This window comes from Homo sapiens, chromosome 11 (genome assembly GCF_000001405.40).
Source record: "Homo sapiens chromosome 11, GRCh38.p14 Primary Assembly".
In the NCBI taxonomy this organism is placed as follows: Eukaryota; Metazoa; Chordata; class Mammalia; order Primates; family Hominidae; genus Homo; species Homo sapiens.
Window position 1 is genome coordinate 36396750 of NC_000011.10, and position 19566 is coordinate 36416315.

At 45.9% G+C, this 19566-nt stretch overlaps 1 protein-coding gene across 4 annotated transcripts in view, besides 1 other annotated feature; it reads left to right on the forward strand.

Annotated features, from left to right (window-relative positions):
- PRR5L (proline rich 5 like) overlaps positions 1 to 19566 on the forward strand; it is a 168917-nt gene that overhangs the window by 100462 nt on the left and 48889 nt on the right. For 3 of the 4 annotated variants that reach the window (NM_001160167.2, NM_024841.5, NM_001160169.1), the window contains 2 exons: positions 4248 to 4536; positions 6549 to 6629. The exons of the other annotated variant lie outside the window; for it this stretch is intronic. In NM_001160167.2, coding sequence (NP_001153639.1) covers positions 4373 to 4536; positions 6549 to 6629 — 245 coding nt within the window. In that variant the 5' untranslated portion in view covers positions 4248 to 4372. Of the gene's footprint in view, positions 1 to 4247; positions 4537 to 6548; positions 6630 to 19566 lie in introns of those variants that run through there. 4 annotated transcript variants of the gene reach the window in all.
- Positions 14490 to 14784: an enhancer, noted in NCBI's record as "tiled region #14138; K562 Activating DNase unmatched - State 8:EnhW". NCBI's record gives its function as "activates a minimal TATA promoter and a strong SV40 promoter by Sharpr-MPRA in K562 cells {active_cell/tissue: K562}" and the evidence as "EXISTENCE:reporter gene assay evidence [ECO:0000049][PMID:27701403]".

Genomic DNA, 19566 nt, shown 5'->3' on the forward strand with positions numbered 1-19566 from the left:
ACAGCTCATAGGGAGTGGGTGTCTAAGGCAGCTGTTCTTTCTCCTTTCATCCTTTCTCACCACTCCTCTTGCCCCATCAAATATGGTCATAGAGTTCCTTATGCCAGCTTATTTATCTCAGGGGCATGAGATTGAACTTTTGATAGGAAATTTAGTTCCTAACTTAGTGGCTTCAATTCTAGTTTTCTGGCTGAGTTTGGTAGCATGGAAAAGTGGGAATGGGCTGGAGAATGAGGCACCAGTCAATGATCTGCCACACACTAGCTGTGTGACTTTGGGTAGGTTACCTAACTTCTCTGATGTTCAAGTTTTCTTTTCTTTTTTTTTTTTTTTTTTGAGATGGAGTCTTGCTCTGTTGCCCAGGCTGGAGTGCAGTGGCACGATCTTGGCTCACTGCAACCCCTGCCTCCTGGGTTCAAGCGATTCTCCTGTCTCAGCCTCCTGAGTAGCTAGGATTACAGGCACGCCAACACGCCCAGCTAATTTTTGTATTTTTAGTCGAGACAGGGTTTCACCGTGTTGGTCAGTCTGATTTCGAACTCCTGCCCTCGAGATCTACCCATCTTGGCCTCCCAAAGTGCTGGGACTACAGGCATGAGCCACTGTGCCCAGCTCAACTGGTATTTTGTGAGGGTTGAGTAAGTTTATGTATTGTGACAATGCTTGGCTTCATGTCAGCCAGGCAGCCGATGCCTTTTTTTTTTTTTTTTTTTTTTTTTTTTTTGAGAGAGAAGCCTTGCTTTGTTGCCCAGGCTGGAGTGCAGTGGTGCCATCTTGGCTCACTGCAACCTCCACCTCTCGGATTCAAGCGATTCTCCTGCCTCAGCCTCCTGAGCAGCTGAGACTACAGGCACGCACCACCATGCCCGGCTAATTTTTGTACTTTTAATAGAGACAGGGTTTTGCCATATTGACCAGGCTGATCTCGAACTCCTGACCTCAGGTGATCCGCCTGCCTTGGCCGGGATTACAGACGTGAGTGACTGTGCCTGGCCTAGCCAATGCCTTCTTAATTCTTTTCCTTCATCTTTTTCTTTCTTTTCTTTCTTTTTTTGTTTTTTTTTGAGACGAGTTTCGCTCTTGTTGCCCAGGCTATAGTGCAATGGCACGATCTCGGATCACCGCAACCTCTGCCTCTCAGGTTCAAGCGATTCTCCTGCCTCAGCCCCCCGAGTCGCCGGGATTAAAGGCATGCGCCCCCATGCCCGGCTCATTTTGTATTTTTAGTAGAGATGGGGTTTCTCCATGTTGGTCAGGCTGGTCTCGAACTCCTGACCTCAGGTGATCCACCCACCTCGGCCTCCCAAAGTGCTGGGATTCCAGGCTAAGCAGTGAGCTTAGTCTTGAGGATATAGAGGTGAATAAAGCCCGATGCCTGTCTTCAAGGAATTTGCAGAATGGCCTAGGTGGGAGCTGGGGAACATGCTCAAACAGGTGTCGGGGAATAGCTCTCACAGTCCTGGCTCTCTTCCTGCCTCGAGCACCTTGGATGTGTTTCTTTGCTTCTTTGCTATACCTTTGTCATCTGTCAATGGGACCTGGACTGGCCCCACTCCGAGGCCCCATCTGTTCTGTCATTTTCTGACTTGTCAGATATAGGTCAGGACAGGCCCGCGCCTGCCGGGCCAGCGCTGTAGCAGGTGAACCCAGGGTGTATCAGCGTTTCCCTTTAGGCCACTCTTGTCAATGCTCCCAACGGCCTCCTCCTTCCTCCCTGTGCTGCTCTGGGGAGGTCTCTTGGCTCTGCCCGGCAGTAGGAACAGTGGAGACAAAGACAGCTTCACATTCTCTTCAGCTGTCAGGATTGAGAGTGGCGGATTCGGGAGGAGAAAAATGAGTCAGTGGCAACTCGTTGTGTGTGACTGTGCAGTTTATCTGAGTCCGCGGGAGCCATAGTCGTAGGCTGAAAATGACCCTTATTTAAGAGAGGCTGAGTGCGTGGTTGTGGCTGCCCAGGCGCTTTGCTGGACTAGGCAGCCTGGGAACACTAACTGAGAAGTGGACGGGGACAGGAGCCAGCCTGCGGTCCTCAGTGTCTTACAGTTTCCTGGAGAAGTGGATGTTTCGGCAGGAAGATGGTGGGTAAACACCTGGAACGATCCATTCTGCTCACTTTTCTACTTCCCTGTACCAGTGCCATGGAATGAGAGGCAGCTCCATTAACTCGTTTAAGATCCTCATAAAGGGAGTTAATATCCTGTAATTACACAGGTGAATTGCATTTAGCAGGTCCATTTGAAGAATGGCAGCGAAATGGATCCTGTCTTAGTAGTGTGACCTTTACTGGGTGAGTTAAATCCCAAAGCTAGCCAATTTAAGGATATGGAAGGACCTTCTGTGGCTTTATTTCTTCATCACCTCATTTTTTGGTTTGTGTAGATCTTTCCACGTTGCAGTGGCATTTATGAAGCTGCTGAGGCCTTCTGAAACTTGACAGCCTGTTATGCTTCTTTTGTTAATAAAGTTTAACAAAACTGTTGAACTCATTCTGAGCAGGGGGTGAAGGGGCAAAGACTGTACAGGAAAACAGGACATAAGTCTGCTTTCCTTAAAAGAAAAAAGTTAAGAGACAGGACAAGCCATTTCTTTTCTGCCTCTTCGTATTACAAGTTCCTTGTTGCTATGCCTGTTGCCTGCAGATAGCTGCTAACACCTCCCGTGCCCTCTCGATGGCTTGCCTCCATGCCCATCTGAGTGGCTTAACTCACTCTTCTGACCACAACAGCATGTTTGATTTGGAGGTGAGACTTCGGTTCCTCCTTCTTCAAGTGCTAACCAGCTGGAGCTGCAAAAATCTTCTCCCCTGGCAACCTGAAGGTTGACTTAAGGCTAGAATATCTTTTTCTTGCATCATTAGTTTTTGGGACATAGCAGAGTTAGCTGGTGAGAGAGATGGCAGTGAAAACACTTCTGGGCTAAACCTACTAAACCGTCAAGTAAAAAGTGACTATGAGATTCGTGGTGTTTCCTTTTGTCCTTCACTCTGCTGAACTCTAATTCTCGCCTTTTAAGTCATTCATTTAGACTTTAGAGTCACTAAAGAATAAGAGACTGAAATTACAGGTCCAAAGGTGTAAAGGAAAGAAAGAAATTCATCTGAATGGAAATAGCCAGTCCTTGAGGCCCATGGCTCCGCCATTCTGCCAGCCATGTCACATGATCTCATTTCATCTCTCCAGTCCTGGAAAGTGGGCATTAGTAACAGCTGAGGACTTCAGACTCAGTGTGTTCAAAGTCACACAACTTGGGAGTGGCCAAGTTAAGACTCAAACCTGAAGCCACTGCCTTTAACCGCGAAGCCATGAAGTCTCCCAGCAACTGCTACAAGGGGACAGTGTCCTTGAACCCAACCCTGCAGGGCGAGTTGGGTTTAAATAAGCAGAGGGAAAAAGGAAGAGAATTCTGGGCAAGAGGAGTAGTTGGTACGAGCAAAAGTGTGGGGGAAGGACTGTGCATGACATAGAAGAGTGCCTGCTGGTTGCGAGCTCCACGGGGCAGGGCACCAGGGCCTCTGGAGCCATCTTATATCTCCCAGTGCCTGAGTGGCTATGCATAGTAGCTGCTCAATAAATATTTATTGCATGAGTGAATACTTGAAAAGACTGTTATCTTCTCCATAGGCTGAGTACCCTGAGAGCAGGGATTTGGTCTTAGAAATCTTTGGATGTTCTGCAACTCACAGTGGTTAATAAATAGCAAACACTCAGTGAGTGTGTCCTGATGAAATGAGTGAAGGAACAGCAGGTAAGGGAAGGTGAGATGTGCTTGAGTGAAGAGTCACTGATACTTTGAGAAAAACTGAGCAATATATGCAGACTGGCTTGGTAAGGGCATATCATGGATGGTCATCAATGCCAGGATGAGGAGCTCTTGTGTCCTCCTTGAGACATTTTTTAAAAATCCATCTCTTACTGCACAACATCGTGGGCCACAGGAACCCAGGCAGTGCTCAAACTGATGGCTGCATATTGGAACCAGAGTCTAGCACAGCTTAGAAATCATTTTTCTGCAGGACTGGCCTTAGGCTGGCCCCATTGTCACTGTCTTCCCACTTGAGGGTGACCACACTGTTACAACCGAAAAGAGCCCTGTGCAAACTTGTGAATGGGAACCTGCCAGGGAATAGATGCTATTGCTGGGTCCCGCAGTTGTTTTCGGGGTAGTTAGGCTGGAAAGTCCCAGCCAACTTCCTCTAAGAGGTGTTCTCAGGCCAGGAGTTCTCAATAAAAGCTTCCCTCTCTTTTCAGGTGTTGGCTACGTTTGTGGTTTTAAGAAAGCCTGAGGGCCTGAAGGCAGCCCCTGGAGAAGCCCTTTCCGAGGGCATTCGGAACCTTCTGGTCCTAGAGGTGAAGCTGAACTGTCACCAGGACTTATGACCCGCGGCTTCGCTCCCATTCTGCCCGTCGAGTTCCACAAGATGGGCTCCTTCCGCAGGCCTAGACCGCGCTTCATGAGCTCCCCCGTGCTCAGCGACCTTCCCCGATTCCAAGCAGCTCGGCAGGCTCTGCAGCTGAGCTCCAGCTCAGCCTGGAACAGGTGAAGGAGGCTGCAGGATGTGGGGTGGAGGGCTGCCAAGGGCCATGGCAGGGAGGGAGGCATCCGGGGGCTGACTGAGCTTCTGCTGATTCTGGGAAGGCCGTGATTATGGGGGTAAATAATGACGAGAGCAAATTTTCTTTTTTTCCTTTTTTAAGAGACAGGGTCTCACTCTGTCACCCAGGCTGGAGTGCAGTCGTGCAATTATAGTTCACTGCAGCCTCAAACTTCTGGGCTCGGGCGATCCTCCTGCCCCAGCCTCCCGAGTAGCTGGGACTACAGGCACATGCCACCACACCCAGCTAATTAAAAAAGCAATTTTTTTTTAAAGAGATGGGGTCTCACTATACTGCCCAGGCTGGCCTTGAACTCCTGGCCTCAAGGGATCACTCCCACCTCGGCCTTCCAAAGCGCTGGGATTATGGGTGTGAGCTACTGCACCTGGCCAAGAGAGCAAGTTTTTTTTAATATCCAGCGTGTCTGTTAGCTTTCTTTGTTTCAGTAGCCAGAAAATAGACCACTGAGGGCCTCTGGCCTGTTAGAGTCAGTTTACCAGACTGGGACAGTTGCACTGGAATTTACGGTCACTATTCATGCTCATTAGTCACACCTGAAACTGTCAGCCTATCCGAGAGTGGGCTTCTATAAGAAACCTTAAGTAACCTACTTCCCACTTGGGAAGATAAAACATGTCTGTGAAAAATTAAATGATTGGCATAAACCCAAGATTATGAAGACCTGTGAGCCACAGGTGCTTGGAAGAGGAGGCACAGAGTTTTGTTAGGTGTCTAGCCAACCTTTTGTGCACCAAGAATTGAGCAGACTGAATCAGCACTATGTCTTATATGCTTGTGGGCTACTGTTTTTCAAATCTTTGCAGACACTGTTTGGAGTAATTAAATGCATCATTATTTTGAAGCATGACTGAATTCTTTGTAGTTTGGATCGTTATGGATCTTTTCTCTTTTTTCTTTTCTTGAGACAATCTTGCTCTGTTACCCAGGCTGGAGTGCAGTGGTGCAATCTTGGCTAACTGCAATCTCTGCCTCCCAGGTTCAAGCGATTCTCCTGCCTCAGCCTCCTAAGTAGCTGGGTTTACAAGTGCGTGCCACCACACCTGACTGATTTTGTATTTTTAGTAGAGACGGGATTTCACCATGTTGGCCAGACTGGTCTCGAACTCCTGACCTCAAGTGATCCACCTGCCTCTGCCTCCCAAAGTGCTGGGATTACAGGCGTGAGCCACTGTGCCCAGCCCATTATGGATATTTTAAATGAATGGACACAGAAAGCAGGACTCTGATGATAGGGATGGAGAGAGGGGGCTCCAAAATGTTTTGGTGTTAAATGGATCCCTGTTCTTTAAAGGAAAGGCCAGGGGCCTTAATATAGACAAGATTGTAAGCAGCTCCTTTGCTGAAACACTGGGCTGTCGTCCCAGAGGCTGTGGAGTAAGCCCTGATATGGCCTCTCAAGGGACTAACTCTACTGCCGGTACACCTCACACGAGTGGACATGTGAGGAGCCTGTAAGGCTGGCCTGCGAGAAATTCTTCCAAGGAAAGTGCTGTTAAAAAGGAAAGGACTTACCGGTTCATGTTAGCTCAAGGCCACCAAGCTTCCCTGTGAAGACAGTGGCTGTGAAAGAACCGCAGGCATGGGTCAGCTTCTGCTTGCAGGAAATGCCATTTGGAATCTCCCAGGTCCATGCAGTTTCCTGCGATCAGATCCCACTGGCTGCCTTTGACTGTGGCTGCACCAGCAGGGCCGCCAGCGAGGTGAGGGAGGAAGACCTGCTGGCTTGCAAGAAAGCGGGGGCTGCTTTTGAGTCCTTTCGCCTTTGGTCTTCCTTTCTCTCCAAGGACACTGAGGAAATGGAGGATGGATGGAGAGTGTGGCCAGGTTTGTGCTATGAGCTTCCTGGTCACTCCACACACCTTCAGCCCTGAGCTGCTATTGAAATGGCCCAAGAAGGGAGATTCTCTAACCAGGGGTTATTCTCTTTTCCTGTAGCGTTCAGACTGCTGTGATCAACGTTTTCAAAGGGGGTGGCTTGCAAAGCAACGAGCTCTATGCCCTGAACGAAAACATCAGGTATGTGGCAGGCCAGACTTGGTGCCATTTTCCCCTATAAACCTGAGCAGGGGCATAGGGGCTACCGCCTTAGGAGCCTTAAGGGTTTTTTTTTTTTTTTTCCTGCTTGATTCTTATTGCTTCTTCTGTCAGCTATGCTGCTTTCATGGCTGTTGCGTTCTGAGACCTGTGTCTGTCTAGACTTCTGATCCATAGAGAATCATTTGTTCAGTATGTAGTGTGTTTTGTAGGGGAAGGGGTGGAGAGTTGATAGATGGCAGCTGTCATTTATTCTGTAAGCATTTATTGTGCCCTTCCTAACCATTAGGCACCATAATAGGCAATTCAGCTTAGTTGTTGGAACCAGACTGCTTGAGGTTTTATTGTGTTCTTCCTTTTACTAAGTGACTTACCAGCAAACATTTGAGTGCGTCTCTGTTGGCCAGGCACTGGAGAGACAGCAAGGACCAAAGACAGACATGGACCTTGCCCTCCTGGAATTTATATTCATTGGGAAGAGAATCATTAGTCAACTAGCCACACATGTGAAATGTAAACATGCAACTAAGACAGCTACTCCAACACAGCTGCTGTGATGAAAGCATATGTTAAAATGACTTGATTTTTGTCAAGGAGGCCAGGAATGGTGGATGTGATGCTGCTGCTGTGATCTGAAACATCCATGGAAATTACCTAGGTGAACAGGGCTCCAGTTGGTAGAAACTGCGCATGCAAAGTTCCTCTGGTTGCAATGAGCAAGGAACCAAAAGAAGGCCCATCCATGTGCATAGAGCACCAGAAGTTGAGTAGTTGTGCAGTTAGGTCTATGTTTTGGTGAAATGAGAGCAGCAAGTCAGGCAGGGCTCAGAGCACCAGGATCTTCTAGGGACAGGAGATCGATCCATCAGGTCTTTTTTTTTTTTTTTTTTTTTTAAACGGAGTCTTGCTCTGTTACCCAGGCTGGAGTGCAGTGGTACCATCTGGGCTCACTGCAACCTCTGCTTCCTGGGATCAAGCAATTCCCTGCCTCAGTCTCCTGAGCTGGGATCACAGGTGCCCACCACCATGCCTGGCTAATTTTAGTATTTTTAGTAGAGACGAGGTTTCATCATCTTGGTCAGGCTGGTCTTGAACTCCTGACCTCGTGATCCACCCACCTCAGCCTCCCAAAGTGCTGGGATTACAGGCGTGAGCCACTGTGCCTGGCCTCCATCAGGTCTTTTCATGTCCTGGTATTCATTCGTTTCTGGATATGTTAAGTGCAGAACTTCAAGGCTAAAGACCCAACCCTGGAGTGGGCAGAACAATAAACAAGTCCATTGTTCTGTTCCTGTTTACTGTTAGTTAAGGCCTGCATTAAGGTCATTGAGGTGTTTTAAGAGCTCTACTTTCATTAAAGTCTTTAGAATTGTATTAAATTTCCATCCATGTTCTTGAATTTCACATCTTACTTACATAAATATGGAAAAAGACAAAAGATATCTAGCCCAAGGCCTCATTTTACAAAGGAGGAAACTGAGGCCCCAAGAAGTTGAGTGACAGGGGCAAAGTGGGGTCAGCCAACACACACGTTGCGAAGTTTCATTTTTCTCCAAGAACTAAAATTCTGGCCTTTCCATGAGGTTCTTTAGTTCACAATAGAAGTATAAATAAATAAAACAGTGACTCAGGAATGTGCTAATTGTTTTTCACTTTGGGAGGCTGATCCTGAAATTGTACTTAAAAGCTCTGTTTGTGGACAGCTGGGAGAGGTACAGGTCAAGCCAGATTTCACCAGCCCAGGTAGCCCAGGAGCTGCTAACTCAAAAGACTTCAGGTACCAAGCAGGTCTTCTGAATGGGTGAAGCTGGCGTGGATGCCTGGCAGTGAGATCGTGCCCTCTGTCAAAAGAGGATTACCCTGGTAGAACACAGGCCCACTGATACATCTCTTATTTTTCAAGAAGAACTGGAAATTGAGATGTTTATGTAAATTTTCTGACTTTTAAATGTTGGTAAATAATCCAAATTTCCCCAAACATTGGTGCAGGCCAAACAAAACACATCTGTGGATTGAATATGGCCAAGAAGCTGCCCTTTTATAACACCAGCCATTGCATGCATTGGGGAGGCATTGCTGCTTCAGAGTGTTGAGTCCCAGAAAATGCTAGGTGCCTTTCTCCTCCATCAACACATTCAACCCTCCCCACAGCCCTTTGTTATGAGTAGTTGATAAATGAGAAAATCATGCATTAGAGAAATTAAATAAAAGTCACACAGCAATGAGCAGTGGCAAAAGGATTTGAACTCCTTTCTGACTTAGATACCTGTAGTAGTCTACCGGGGCTGCCATAACAAATACCATAGACTGGATGACTTAAACAACAAAAATTTATTTCTCAATGTCCTGGAGGCTGGGAAGTCCAAGATCAAGGTGCCGGTCATTTACATTCCTGGTGATGGCCCTCTTCCCGACTGGAAGATGTGTACTGTGTGTACACATGACCTCTTTTGTACTTGATGGGGAGAGAGAGCTCTCTGATGTCCCTTATAAGGACACTAATCATGTGGGCCCTACTCTTATGACCTCATCTAAACCCAAGTATCTCTCAAAGGCCCATCTCCAAATCCCATCAAATTGGGGGTTAAGGCTTTGACATATAAATTTTGGGGGGACTCATAGCAACACCTTTGTTCTTTGCACTATATTGTAGTGTCAGAAAGAGAGGTCTTATGTTGGGAGAAGGATTAAGTTGATGGTTCCTGATCTTTTTTTTTTTGCCATCGTTCCTTTCCCGAGGTCTCTGTGAGCCCATCTCTTATCACATCCTGTGACTAACACTCATCATGAGGAGCATGACACTCCCCCAGCCCTCCTTTCCAGTGTTGGGGTTAGGGCTGCTAGATGTTCCTCTGTGTCTTGACTGATTTTTCAGACTAGTGGGAAATACATATGGTTGAGGTTTGAAACTATGTGCCCAGATATAAATTGAGCCCAGAATAAGCCAAAGCTTAAAAAAAAAATCAGAGCTTTCCTTCCCCATGTTTCTGTACCTTACATTCTAGCCACACTATTTTAGAGAAGGCCAGAGGATGGAGATAGGCTTTCACATCAGAGACACAGAATATAACTGAAGATGTGAAGTATCTCCCAGGCATTGACGTGACCTGGATGTCTCAAGTTGAATGAAGCTAGCCCTCCCACATCAGCAAGTGCCTGTGTGGAGGTAAACACAGCTGCCTTTATTCCAGCATCTTAAACACTGAAATAGGCTGCTCTCTGGTTACATTCAAGTAGACACTTGGGTTTTGATTTTCCTTTTGGAAGACTTGTTTGCAGAACAGATCTATCAACTCAACATGGTTGAGGCAGGATTGGTGGAGAGGGTGGGGCACAGGATGGTAGGGATGTCAGAAAGAGATGTGCAAACAGAGAAGCCTCAGTTCTTCAGCCCATTTTTCAGTTGTGACAGTCCTGTTATATGCAAGAGGGTTTGTGCTAAGTTTAATGGAAATTTTTAACCAAAGAGAGCAGTTTCTGGATTCAGAGAGACCAGGGATCAAGACTGGGCTAGCTGTGTGACCTTGGGCAAGTGACTTCATTTTTCTAAGTCTGTTTTGTCTTTTATGAAATGAGGATAATAATAGCACTAACCTCATGGTCATTGGGAGGATTGAGATAATGCTAAAAGCATCCTTAGCACAGGGTCTGGTAATTTAATAAAGGTTTAATAAATATTAGCCATATGATTCTTATTACTGTGAACAGTTAAGAAATAGTAAAGTGATACATAATGGGTGAGTACGAGGCATGAGAACACAGGCCAACGTGATGAATTGCCCCATGAATAGTGCTGTGTATAACCCTCTCCAGGCCAGGTGTCATGCTCCCACCTGTAATCCCAGCTCTTTGGGAGGCTGAGGCAGGAGGATCGCTTGAGTCCAAGTGTTTGAGACCAGCTTTAATGAAACCCCAGTTTCTACAAAAAATACAAATAAAATGAAAAGCTGGGCGTGATGATGCATACTGCACTCCAGCCTGGGCAACAGAGCAAGATCCTGTCTCAGAAAAAACTTCTCCAGCAGTTTGGATGAGGTGAGCTCACTTTGAACTAGAGAGTCTGGGACAGAATCCTCAAAGAGTGGTGCCTGGAGTTGAAGTTTGGGTGAGGCTAAGTTCTTACAAGGAGAGCCAGCTGTTTCTCCTTTCCACAGAGAAAAGAACAAGAGGAAATGACTTTTTCAGTTCTCCATTCTACTGAACCCAAATGGTAATAAACTTTTTGATGGAGTATCCAAGTCTGGAGTCAAAGCCTAAATCAGATTCTTTGGGTCACTCATCCCAGCCACCCTGGCCACTTTCTATCTGTAGGGTTAGTATGTACCTGGGAAATACAAATTTATTTAAATAGTAGCCAATGCAAAGGATGACTAGGAAGGTAGATGTTTTATGTAACTGAGTCTTGTAATGCAGTCATTATTATAAGTGGCCTTTCCATTTAAGACATGTCTTTGAAAATAGACTCTAGTTTAAATGTTAGCAGATAGACTTTGAAGTAATTATGAGGAAGAACTTGGGACTGAGGATGGTCAAATTCTAAAACACAGTATTGGATCCAAAGACAGGTTTCTCCACCCTTTAAGAATAAATCTGTCAGGCCAGGTGCGGTGGCTCACCCCGTAGTCCCAGAACTTTGAGAGGCCAAGGCAGGTGGATCACCTGAGGTCAGGAGTTTGAGACCAGCCTGGCCAGCATGGCAAAACCCTGACTCTACTAAAAATACAAAAATTAGCCAGGTGTGGTGGTGTGCGCCTGTAATCCCAGCCAGCTATTTTTGGGAGGCTGAGGCAGGAGAATCGCTTGAACCTGGGAGACAGAGGTTGCAGTGAGCCAAGATCGTGCCACACTGCACTCCAGCCTGGGGGACAGAGAGAGAATTTGTCTCAAAAAAAAAAAAAATCCATCAGAAACGTCTCACCTCAATATAGCGGCCAATGTTGTCCCATGTAAAAGTCAGGGCACATGGTCTATTGATATGAAAACCATAAATCAGAATATTTCCCATTGAAACTGCCTTAGGCACAGCTTGCACATTGTAATATCTCTCAAGGCAAGAAAATGACCTTTCAGAATAGACGTATTCTAGCTAAATCCCCAGGCATCCCAATCAACAATTCTGGCTTCCCTAAATTTCCATCTGCCAGAGTTCGGGCTGATTCTGGGAGTCTTCTTGTTTTGAATTCTCAATGGGGTGTTAGTGCGGTTTTTAACACCCCTCTCCAGCCTCACCCCTGATGTGGCTGCATTTTGGCAGCGAGGAAAAGTCTGGGTTAGAGGTTTGGGTTTCATGAGCCCTTCCAAGAACAAGAGCAGCTAAGCTGACACAAGAGCACACTCTCCCTAAACAGTCTTTTCTGCCACCTCTCCCACTGATTTTATGTAACCGAGAAGAATTAGAAAAGTGTGAAAAAAGCAAGACTGATGTTTGCTGGTTCTTTGAAGAACCTGCTTGCCAATGTTCTTATAAGTGCTTTCAGTCTTTGAGTGTTGGGGTGTGTGTGTCGAAGCAGGGGCCATTGATTCATTGATTTATTTATTGAATAAATGTGGAGTGCTCTGCCCAGTACTGGGCTGTATACTGGGGTGGTCATTGAGTAGGTGGTTTGTGTCTTGGAGATCTTACAGCAGAATGAGAGAGGAACTGGGCAGGTAGTTCTCAGGCAACGCTTTTAGAGGGGTGATGGTGGAATCTGGAGTGCTGGGGGCATGTGGAGGATGGGCACACAATTAGACCTAGGAGAAAATGATATCCAAGTTGAAATCAGAAGTGGGAGCAGGCAGAAAGGGCAGTTGAGGATCTAACGTTCTTGCCACCACCACTCACTCCATGCCCTCCTGCCTCCTCAAACTCCCTGGGAGGACTTTTTCTCGGCAGAAATAAATGCTCAGAGATGAAGTTTCCGGAAACCAGAGATCAGTTATCTGCAGCCGGCCTGAGACAGGAAACGCACATTTTCCTTCTCTCTCCAACCACCCTGCTTCTGTTCTTGTTGGGAGGGGGGAGGTGGTGTGAAGAAAACCCCAGAGATTTTCAAGGAAAGAGGAGGTTCCAAGAATTGTGTTTGATCTCTGACAGGTCTGAGTTGAAATATCTTCCTTCTGAGTCAGTTGGTTGCCTGAAACCCAAAGGGAAATCCACCTCCGATTTTTCCATCTCTTTAACAGAGTGTTGACTGTAAGAGAGGGGGACCCACAGTAGGGGGGAAGAGCTGGGAGGGGACGGGAGGAAGGTGAGCCTGGATCCAGCTCACAGGCTGATGCCATAGACCAGTCCCAGGCCTGATGCCACGAGGTAATGATAACTGCAGACACTTGCTTAGCCTTTTAGTATATGCCAGGTTCCAAGTGCTTCATATGTGTCAACTCTTTTAAAACTCCCCACACCCTGTGAGATAGATACTGTATCCCTGTCTTACAAGGAGGAAGTACAGATACAGAGAGGTGGAATAACTCACCCAGAGTCATGTAGCCAGTAAGTGCCTGAGCTGGGATTTGAACCCAAGCCTCCCACATGCTTAAACCCTTAGTAAGTGGGCTGCAAGAGCCACACAGAGCTGGCATTATCCAGATTTGGGCTTGATGTACCTGGACATAGGTTCATGAATAGATCATGAGGTAAGGGGGGCATTGCCCTTCTGAGGAGCCTAGTTTTGGAGGGATTAAGATGAGGGCTCTTCTTGGTCTGGGTGACTCTGCCTGATGATGTGTTACTACCTTGTACCTGCTGTGGCTGAGAAACAGACTTGGCTTTCAGGTTAAGAAGGGTTGTTAGAAATGGCAGATTGGAAACCCATGGGGTTGGCGCATGTGGTTTGGCCTAAAAGTTGTTTAGAAATCTGGACATCTCACCTAGAACTCCAGGTTTCCGGCCTCTCTGGAAAGGTCAGATCTGGGCACTGGACTCACGGTCTGGTGTGGAGCCTGTCAGGGGAGCTGAGGCCTGGCTGCTGGCTTTAGAGGGACTTTCTTGGTCCTTACAGTACACACTCACTTGCCTCCCTTCTTTGCCTGCCTGCCCCTGTGGCATGGGGGGTACCACTGCCTGATTAGGTTGGCCTCCATTTGAGTTGGGATCTACCAATGTATGGCCCCTGGCAAAGCTCTGAGCATCGATCTTATCTGCAAAATGAGGATACACTCCTACCTGTGAGGCTGTTGGAGAATTTGAGATTCTGTGTGCAGACTGCCGAGCATAGTGTGCCACATAACTAGGAGCTCAATAAATGCTCTTCGTCAGTTTCCTCCATGTTTCTCACTATTCCCACTGCCACCCACTAGGATGCCGACACCCGAAGGGTGTGAGTACTCCATGTCCTGAGTCAAGGACACCACCTCCCATGGGCTCCCATGGAATGGACCAGAGAAGGGGAGGGGGCCTTTCTATCTGTTCCTGCTTAAGAGAAGCTGCCTCCTTGAAACATATCCTATTGCAGAAGTGAGGTGGGTGATTTCAGAGCATTCAGCAGTCAGGCTAGATGGGCACTGACCAGCTACAGCACTGGGCACAGGACTCTGGAGGACCCCTGCTGTTCCTGGATCTTGAGGCGGTCTGGGCGGATCTCACCAAAGGGCCAGGGTGCAGGGCCAGAGAACTTGGGGCAAACCCTACTTGCCAGATGGCGCAGAAATATTAACTACTGATATGGTTATTCCAACTCATCTTGGCTAACCTGCAGCACTTCTTGCAAGCTGCCTCATCGTCTTTAACCTCATGTGGGAAGAGAGTTGGGACAAGCAGCGGGATTTTGCCACCTTGGGTCTTTCTCTGTGTGCAAGGCAGACTGACTCCATCCGAGGTGATTTCCCTCTGTCACTTCCGCGCTTGCCCACTCTGCTGCCATCCTGCTGTCCCTGCGCCTCTCCACCAGCTTGATTCCAGCTTTTAGTAATGCCTCCTTTACCTTTAAGCCCACAGAAGTGGGAAGTTGAGTTGACAAGACGGTGAGGCGTGAGATCGCAGGTCTGTGTAATAACAGGAAATCCTGTCAACTGGGGTGGTGTCTCAGCTGGTCAGCCTGGGAGGGAGAAAGGGTGAGATAATGTAGACCAGTCAGTGCTTCCCCATTTTTTCCCCCTGTTATGGCTCCTTTTGGCTTCTGGCTGAACTTCACGCCCAGTTTCTCATTTTGGTCAGGCCCCGTGTAAGTGTCCCCTTCACATTACCCTCAGCTCCCGGCTTCCCTTTTTCTAGCTCAGTGGCTTGTGGTGGTGGTTGGTAGCAGCAGAATTCTGTTTTCAAATGAAACCAGGCATGGAAGTCCAATATGTGAAACAGATGGCATATGGGGGCTGCTGAGGCTGAGGGGTTGCTTTCATGTCAGTTACACGTCCCGGCAATTCTTTTCTCCAAAGCTCTGCCTCCACCTTCCTACCTTCTTATCCTTTCATCAGCTAGTCTGGCCCTACCTAACATATTACCTGCTTTATGAATTTCTCCTGGGTCCTCAATCCCAGTGTAGGAAATGCTAGTGTGGCTATACTTGTAGGAAGATGCGAGAAGCAGTGGGCTGGAGTTTTCAAGACCCAGGGCTTCAGAGTCCTGGGTGAAATCATAGTAGCTCATGCTTGCCAAGCCTTGCTGTGGGCCAGGCAGCGTTCTAGCAATTTGATGAGGATTAACCCATTTTACTTGTGCAGTAATCCTGTGAAGTAGGTATCCTTATCCTCCCCACATTCTAGGTGAGGAAACTGAAGTATGAAGAATCAGTGAATTTTCCCGGGTCATTGCTAACAACAGCTACTAAGTGGCTGCCAGGATGCAGAGCCAGGCAGCTCTGGGCTCCCTGATCTCAACAAGACACTTGTTATCTCTGGCCTGTGCTTGCTTGGGTCAGTTTCCTTGTATATTAAAATTGAGGATATTATTGCTGCTTACAGTTCTGTTTTAGGCTTAAATGTGGGAACGCCTACATTGTTGACAGTGGTGTCCAGCACCCAGCAAGTGCTCAATAAACTTTAATTGGAGAAAAAAATGCCGGGTTCCATCCTAGGAGCAATTTGTTTATTATTCGTTATGATGATGATGATTGTTTGTTCTAACAAGTAATTGCTTTTCTGTTGACAGGGCAGCAACCCTAGGATAGAGTGGGAAAAGCGGAAGGAAGGCTGCCAGATTCTAGGCCTGAGCCTCAAAGGAGCTTATGGCCTAGGTATTAGGAATCGGGATTTTCATCTTCCCTGCATCTAGGGAACCACAAACCACAGCCTCTTTAATTTGGCTGTCTCTCTCCAGCTTTTCTCTTCTTTCTTGTTCTTTACAAATTAAATTGGTAAAAGTAAGTCAGGCTACAGGGTGAATTGTCCCATTGTGATTTTGGCCTAGGTGTCTAATGCCTTGATATTTTTTACTGTCATCTTTTGGGTAAGATGAACCTCCTGTGCCCTATAAGAGAGTGGCCCAGATCACTCTCTCATAGGGCCCAGGAGAAATCATTGAGCTCTGTTTCATCCTTTTCTTCTAGCATCCAGAACCATGTCTAACACATAACATTATGTTTTCAGTAAATGGCTAAGATTCAAAGAATTAATGAATGGGGTCTCCACTCTGAGTTCCTCTTTTTTTGGTGGGGGGAAGGTAGCTTTTAAGTGAGGAAGCGTCTGCCAAGTTCCACTGGAGATGGTGTATCGGAACAGAGGTGTGGAAAATCCCCTTCTCTCAATTCAGCTGAGACAAGAATAGAGGTTTTTTTCAGAAGCATTCTTTCCTTATAAACCAATGCAAGCAGAATAAACAGAGTATATACATGGATTGTAGATTTGTAACATGACTCAGCCACAGTCTGCTCACAGGCTGGCCTAGCCAGCACTGCTGGGGACTCCTGGCCCCCTTTCCTCATCTCTTCACTCTCTATAGTCCTGAGAACAAGGGTTCTTGGGTTACCAGCTTGAGGCAGGTCTGGATTGGTGGATTCCCAGGACTTGTGGGATTCTCTGTTAGCTGGTACACACCCTGCTTCCTGATGTCATGACCTTGGTAGGGACTTACTCCTGCGATTCTTTCTCGGGCTTCTGGCCATGCTGCGGTAACCTTGGTGGTGGTTATTAACTTCAGAATCTTAAAAATTTGTTTCTGAATAGGATTGTTTTGACATGGTTCAAAAATTTTACGCATATAGCAAGGGTATACAGTAGAGTCTCCACCCCTGTATCCCAGAAACCAGTTTTCCATTCTCTTTTCCTTAAAGATAAGTATTAGTAACGGTAGCTTATTGGGTATTCTTCCAGAGTTTCTTTATGCATGTATAAGGAATACATATGGAAACACAGCTGATGATACTGTATACTTTATTTTATTTATTTCTATTTTTTATTTTATTTTATTTTATTTTATTATTATTATACTTTTAGTGTACGTGTGCACAATGTGCAGGTTAGTTACATATGTATACATGTGCCATGCTGGTGTGCTGCACCCATTAACTCGTCATTTAGCATTAGGTATATCTCCTAATGCTATCCCTCCCCCCTCCCCCCACCCCACAACAGTCCCCAGAGTGTGATGTTCCCCTTCCTGTGTCCATGTGTTCTCATTGTTCAATTCCCACCTATGAGTGAGAACATGCGGTGTTTGGTTTTTTGTCCTTGTGATAGTTTACTGAGAATGATGATTTCCACTTTTATCCATGTCCCTACAAAGGACATGAACTCATCATTTTTTTATGGCTGCATAGTATTCCATGGTGTATATGTGCCACATTTTCTTAATCCGGTCTATCATTGTTGGACATTTGGGTTGGTTCCAAGTCTTTCCTATTGTGAATAGTGCCACAGTAAACATACGTGTGCATGTGTCTTTATAGCAGCATGATTTATAGTCCTTTGGGTATATACCCAGTAATGGGATGGCTGGGTCAAATGGTATTTCTAGTTCTACATCCCTGAGGAATCGCCACACTGACTTCCACAATGGTTGAACTAGTTTACAGTCCCACCAACAGTGTAAAAGTGTTCCTATTTCTCCACATCCTCTCCAGCACCTGTTGTTTCCTGACTTTTTAATGATTGCCATTCTAACTGGTGTGAGATGGTATCTCACTGTGGTTTTGATTTGCATTTCTCTGATGGCCAGTGATGCTGAGCATTTTTTCATGTTTTTTGGCTGCATAAATGTCTTCTTTTGAGAAGTGTCTGTTCATGTCCTTCGCCCACTTTTTGATGGGGTTGTTTGTTTTTTTCTTGTAAATTTGTTTGAGTTCATTGTAGATTCTGGATATTAGCCCTTTGTCAGATGAGTAGGTTGTGAAAATTTTCTCCCATTTTGTAGGTTGCCTGTTCACTCTGATGGTAGTTTCTTTTGCTGTGCAGAAGCTGTTTAGTTTAATTAGATCCCATTTGTCAATTTTGGCTTTTGTTGCCATTGCTTTTGGTGTTCAGACATGAAGTCCTTGCCCATGCCTATGTCCTGAATGGTAATGCCTAGGTTTTCTTCTAGGGTTTTTATGGTTTTAGGTCTAACGTTTAAGTCTTTAATCCATCTTGAATTAATTTTTGTATAAGGTGTAAGGAAGGGATCCAGTTTCAGCTTTCTACATATGGCTAGCCAGTTTTCCCAGAACCATTTATTAAATAGGGAATCCTTTCCCCATTGCTTGTTTTTCTCAGGTTTGTCAAAGATCAGATAGTTGTAGATATGCAGCGTTATTTCTGTGGGCTCTGTTCTGTTCCATTGATCTATATCTCTGTTTTGGTAGCAGTACCATGCTGTTTTGGTTACTGTAGCCTTGTAGTATAGTTTGAAGTCAGGTAGTGTGATGCCTCCAGCTTTGTTCTTTTGGCTTAGGATTGCCTTGGTGATGCGGGCTCTTTTTTGGTTCCATATGAACTTTAAAGTAGATACTGGATACTTTCTACAGGGTCTGTGGACTAGACTGGGTTCTGGTGATGTGGTGTTTGTGGGACAGCATCTTCCTCAAACTTCAGGGAATCAAGCTGGCTAAAGTGTTGTGTTGCCTTACGTAATTTCCAGCAACAACTTCAAGCTTCTCCAAGGCTTTACATGTAGACATAGAGAAGAGGACACACAACCCAGTGCTTCTTTACATATGATTTTTAAAAATGCATCTGTGGGCCAGGCACAGTGGCTCATGCCTGTAATCCTAGCACTTTGGGAGGCCAAGGTGGGCAGATCACCTGAGGTCAGGAGTTTGAGGTCAGTCTGCCCAAAAGGGTGAAACCCTATCTCTACCAAAAATAGAAAAATTAGCCAGGAGCAGTGTTGCGCGCCTGCTCTCCCAGCTACTCAGGAGGCTGAGGCATAAGAATTGCTTGAGCCCGGGAGGCAGAGGTTGCAGTGAGCTGAGATCACACCACTGCACTCCAGCTTGGGCAACAGAGTGCAACTCTGTCTCAATAAAAAACAGTTAATTAATTAAAAAATAAATAAAATGCATATGTGTTCTCTGTGTTTAAAAATCAAGGAGCTATATATTTCAATTCTAAGGGCCTATGGGGAAACCCCTTCATATAGTAATACAGACTTGAACAGCAAGTTATAAGAGTGGAATTGACCAACAAATATGTTAGTGTTGTGTAAACTAAAATGTGTATTCTTATTTTTCTCTTCCCATTTTACAAGGTAGCCTGTTGTATGTACACACTGTTCTGTATCTTGCATTGTTTCTTTGCTTACTATGACTTAGATCTTTCATATTATTTAGAGCACTTCTTCACACCCTTTTTAAAATAGTTGCATAGAATTCCATTGCCTGGATGAACATAATCTTTTTATTAGCACTTTATTGGTGCATATTTATGTTGATTTCTATATTTTGCTGCAATGAAAAACTCTGCATATATATATATAACATGTGACCCTGTCTAACCATGTTATCATGCCCAGACAGAAGGCAGGATTTTGTAAGGGATAAGGGCAGTGTAGCTTACTGATTTGCCCAGGTAGAGCAATAGAATCTTGACTTAA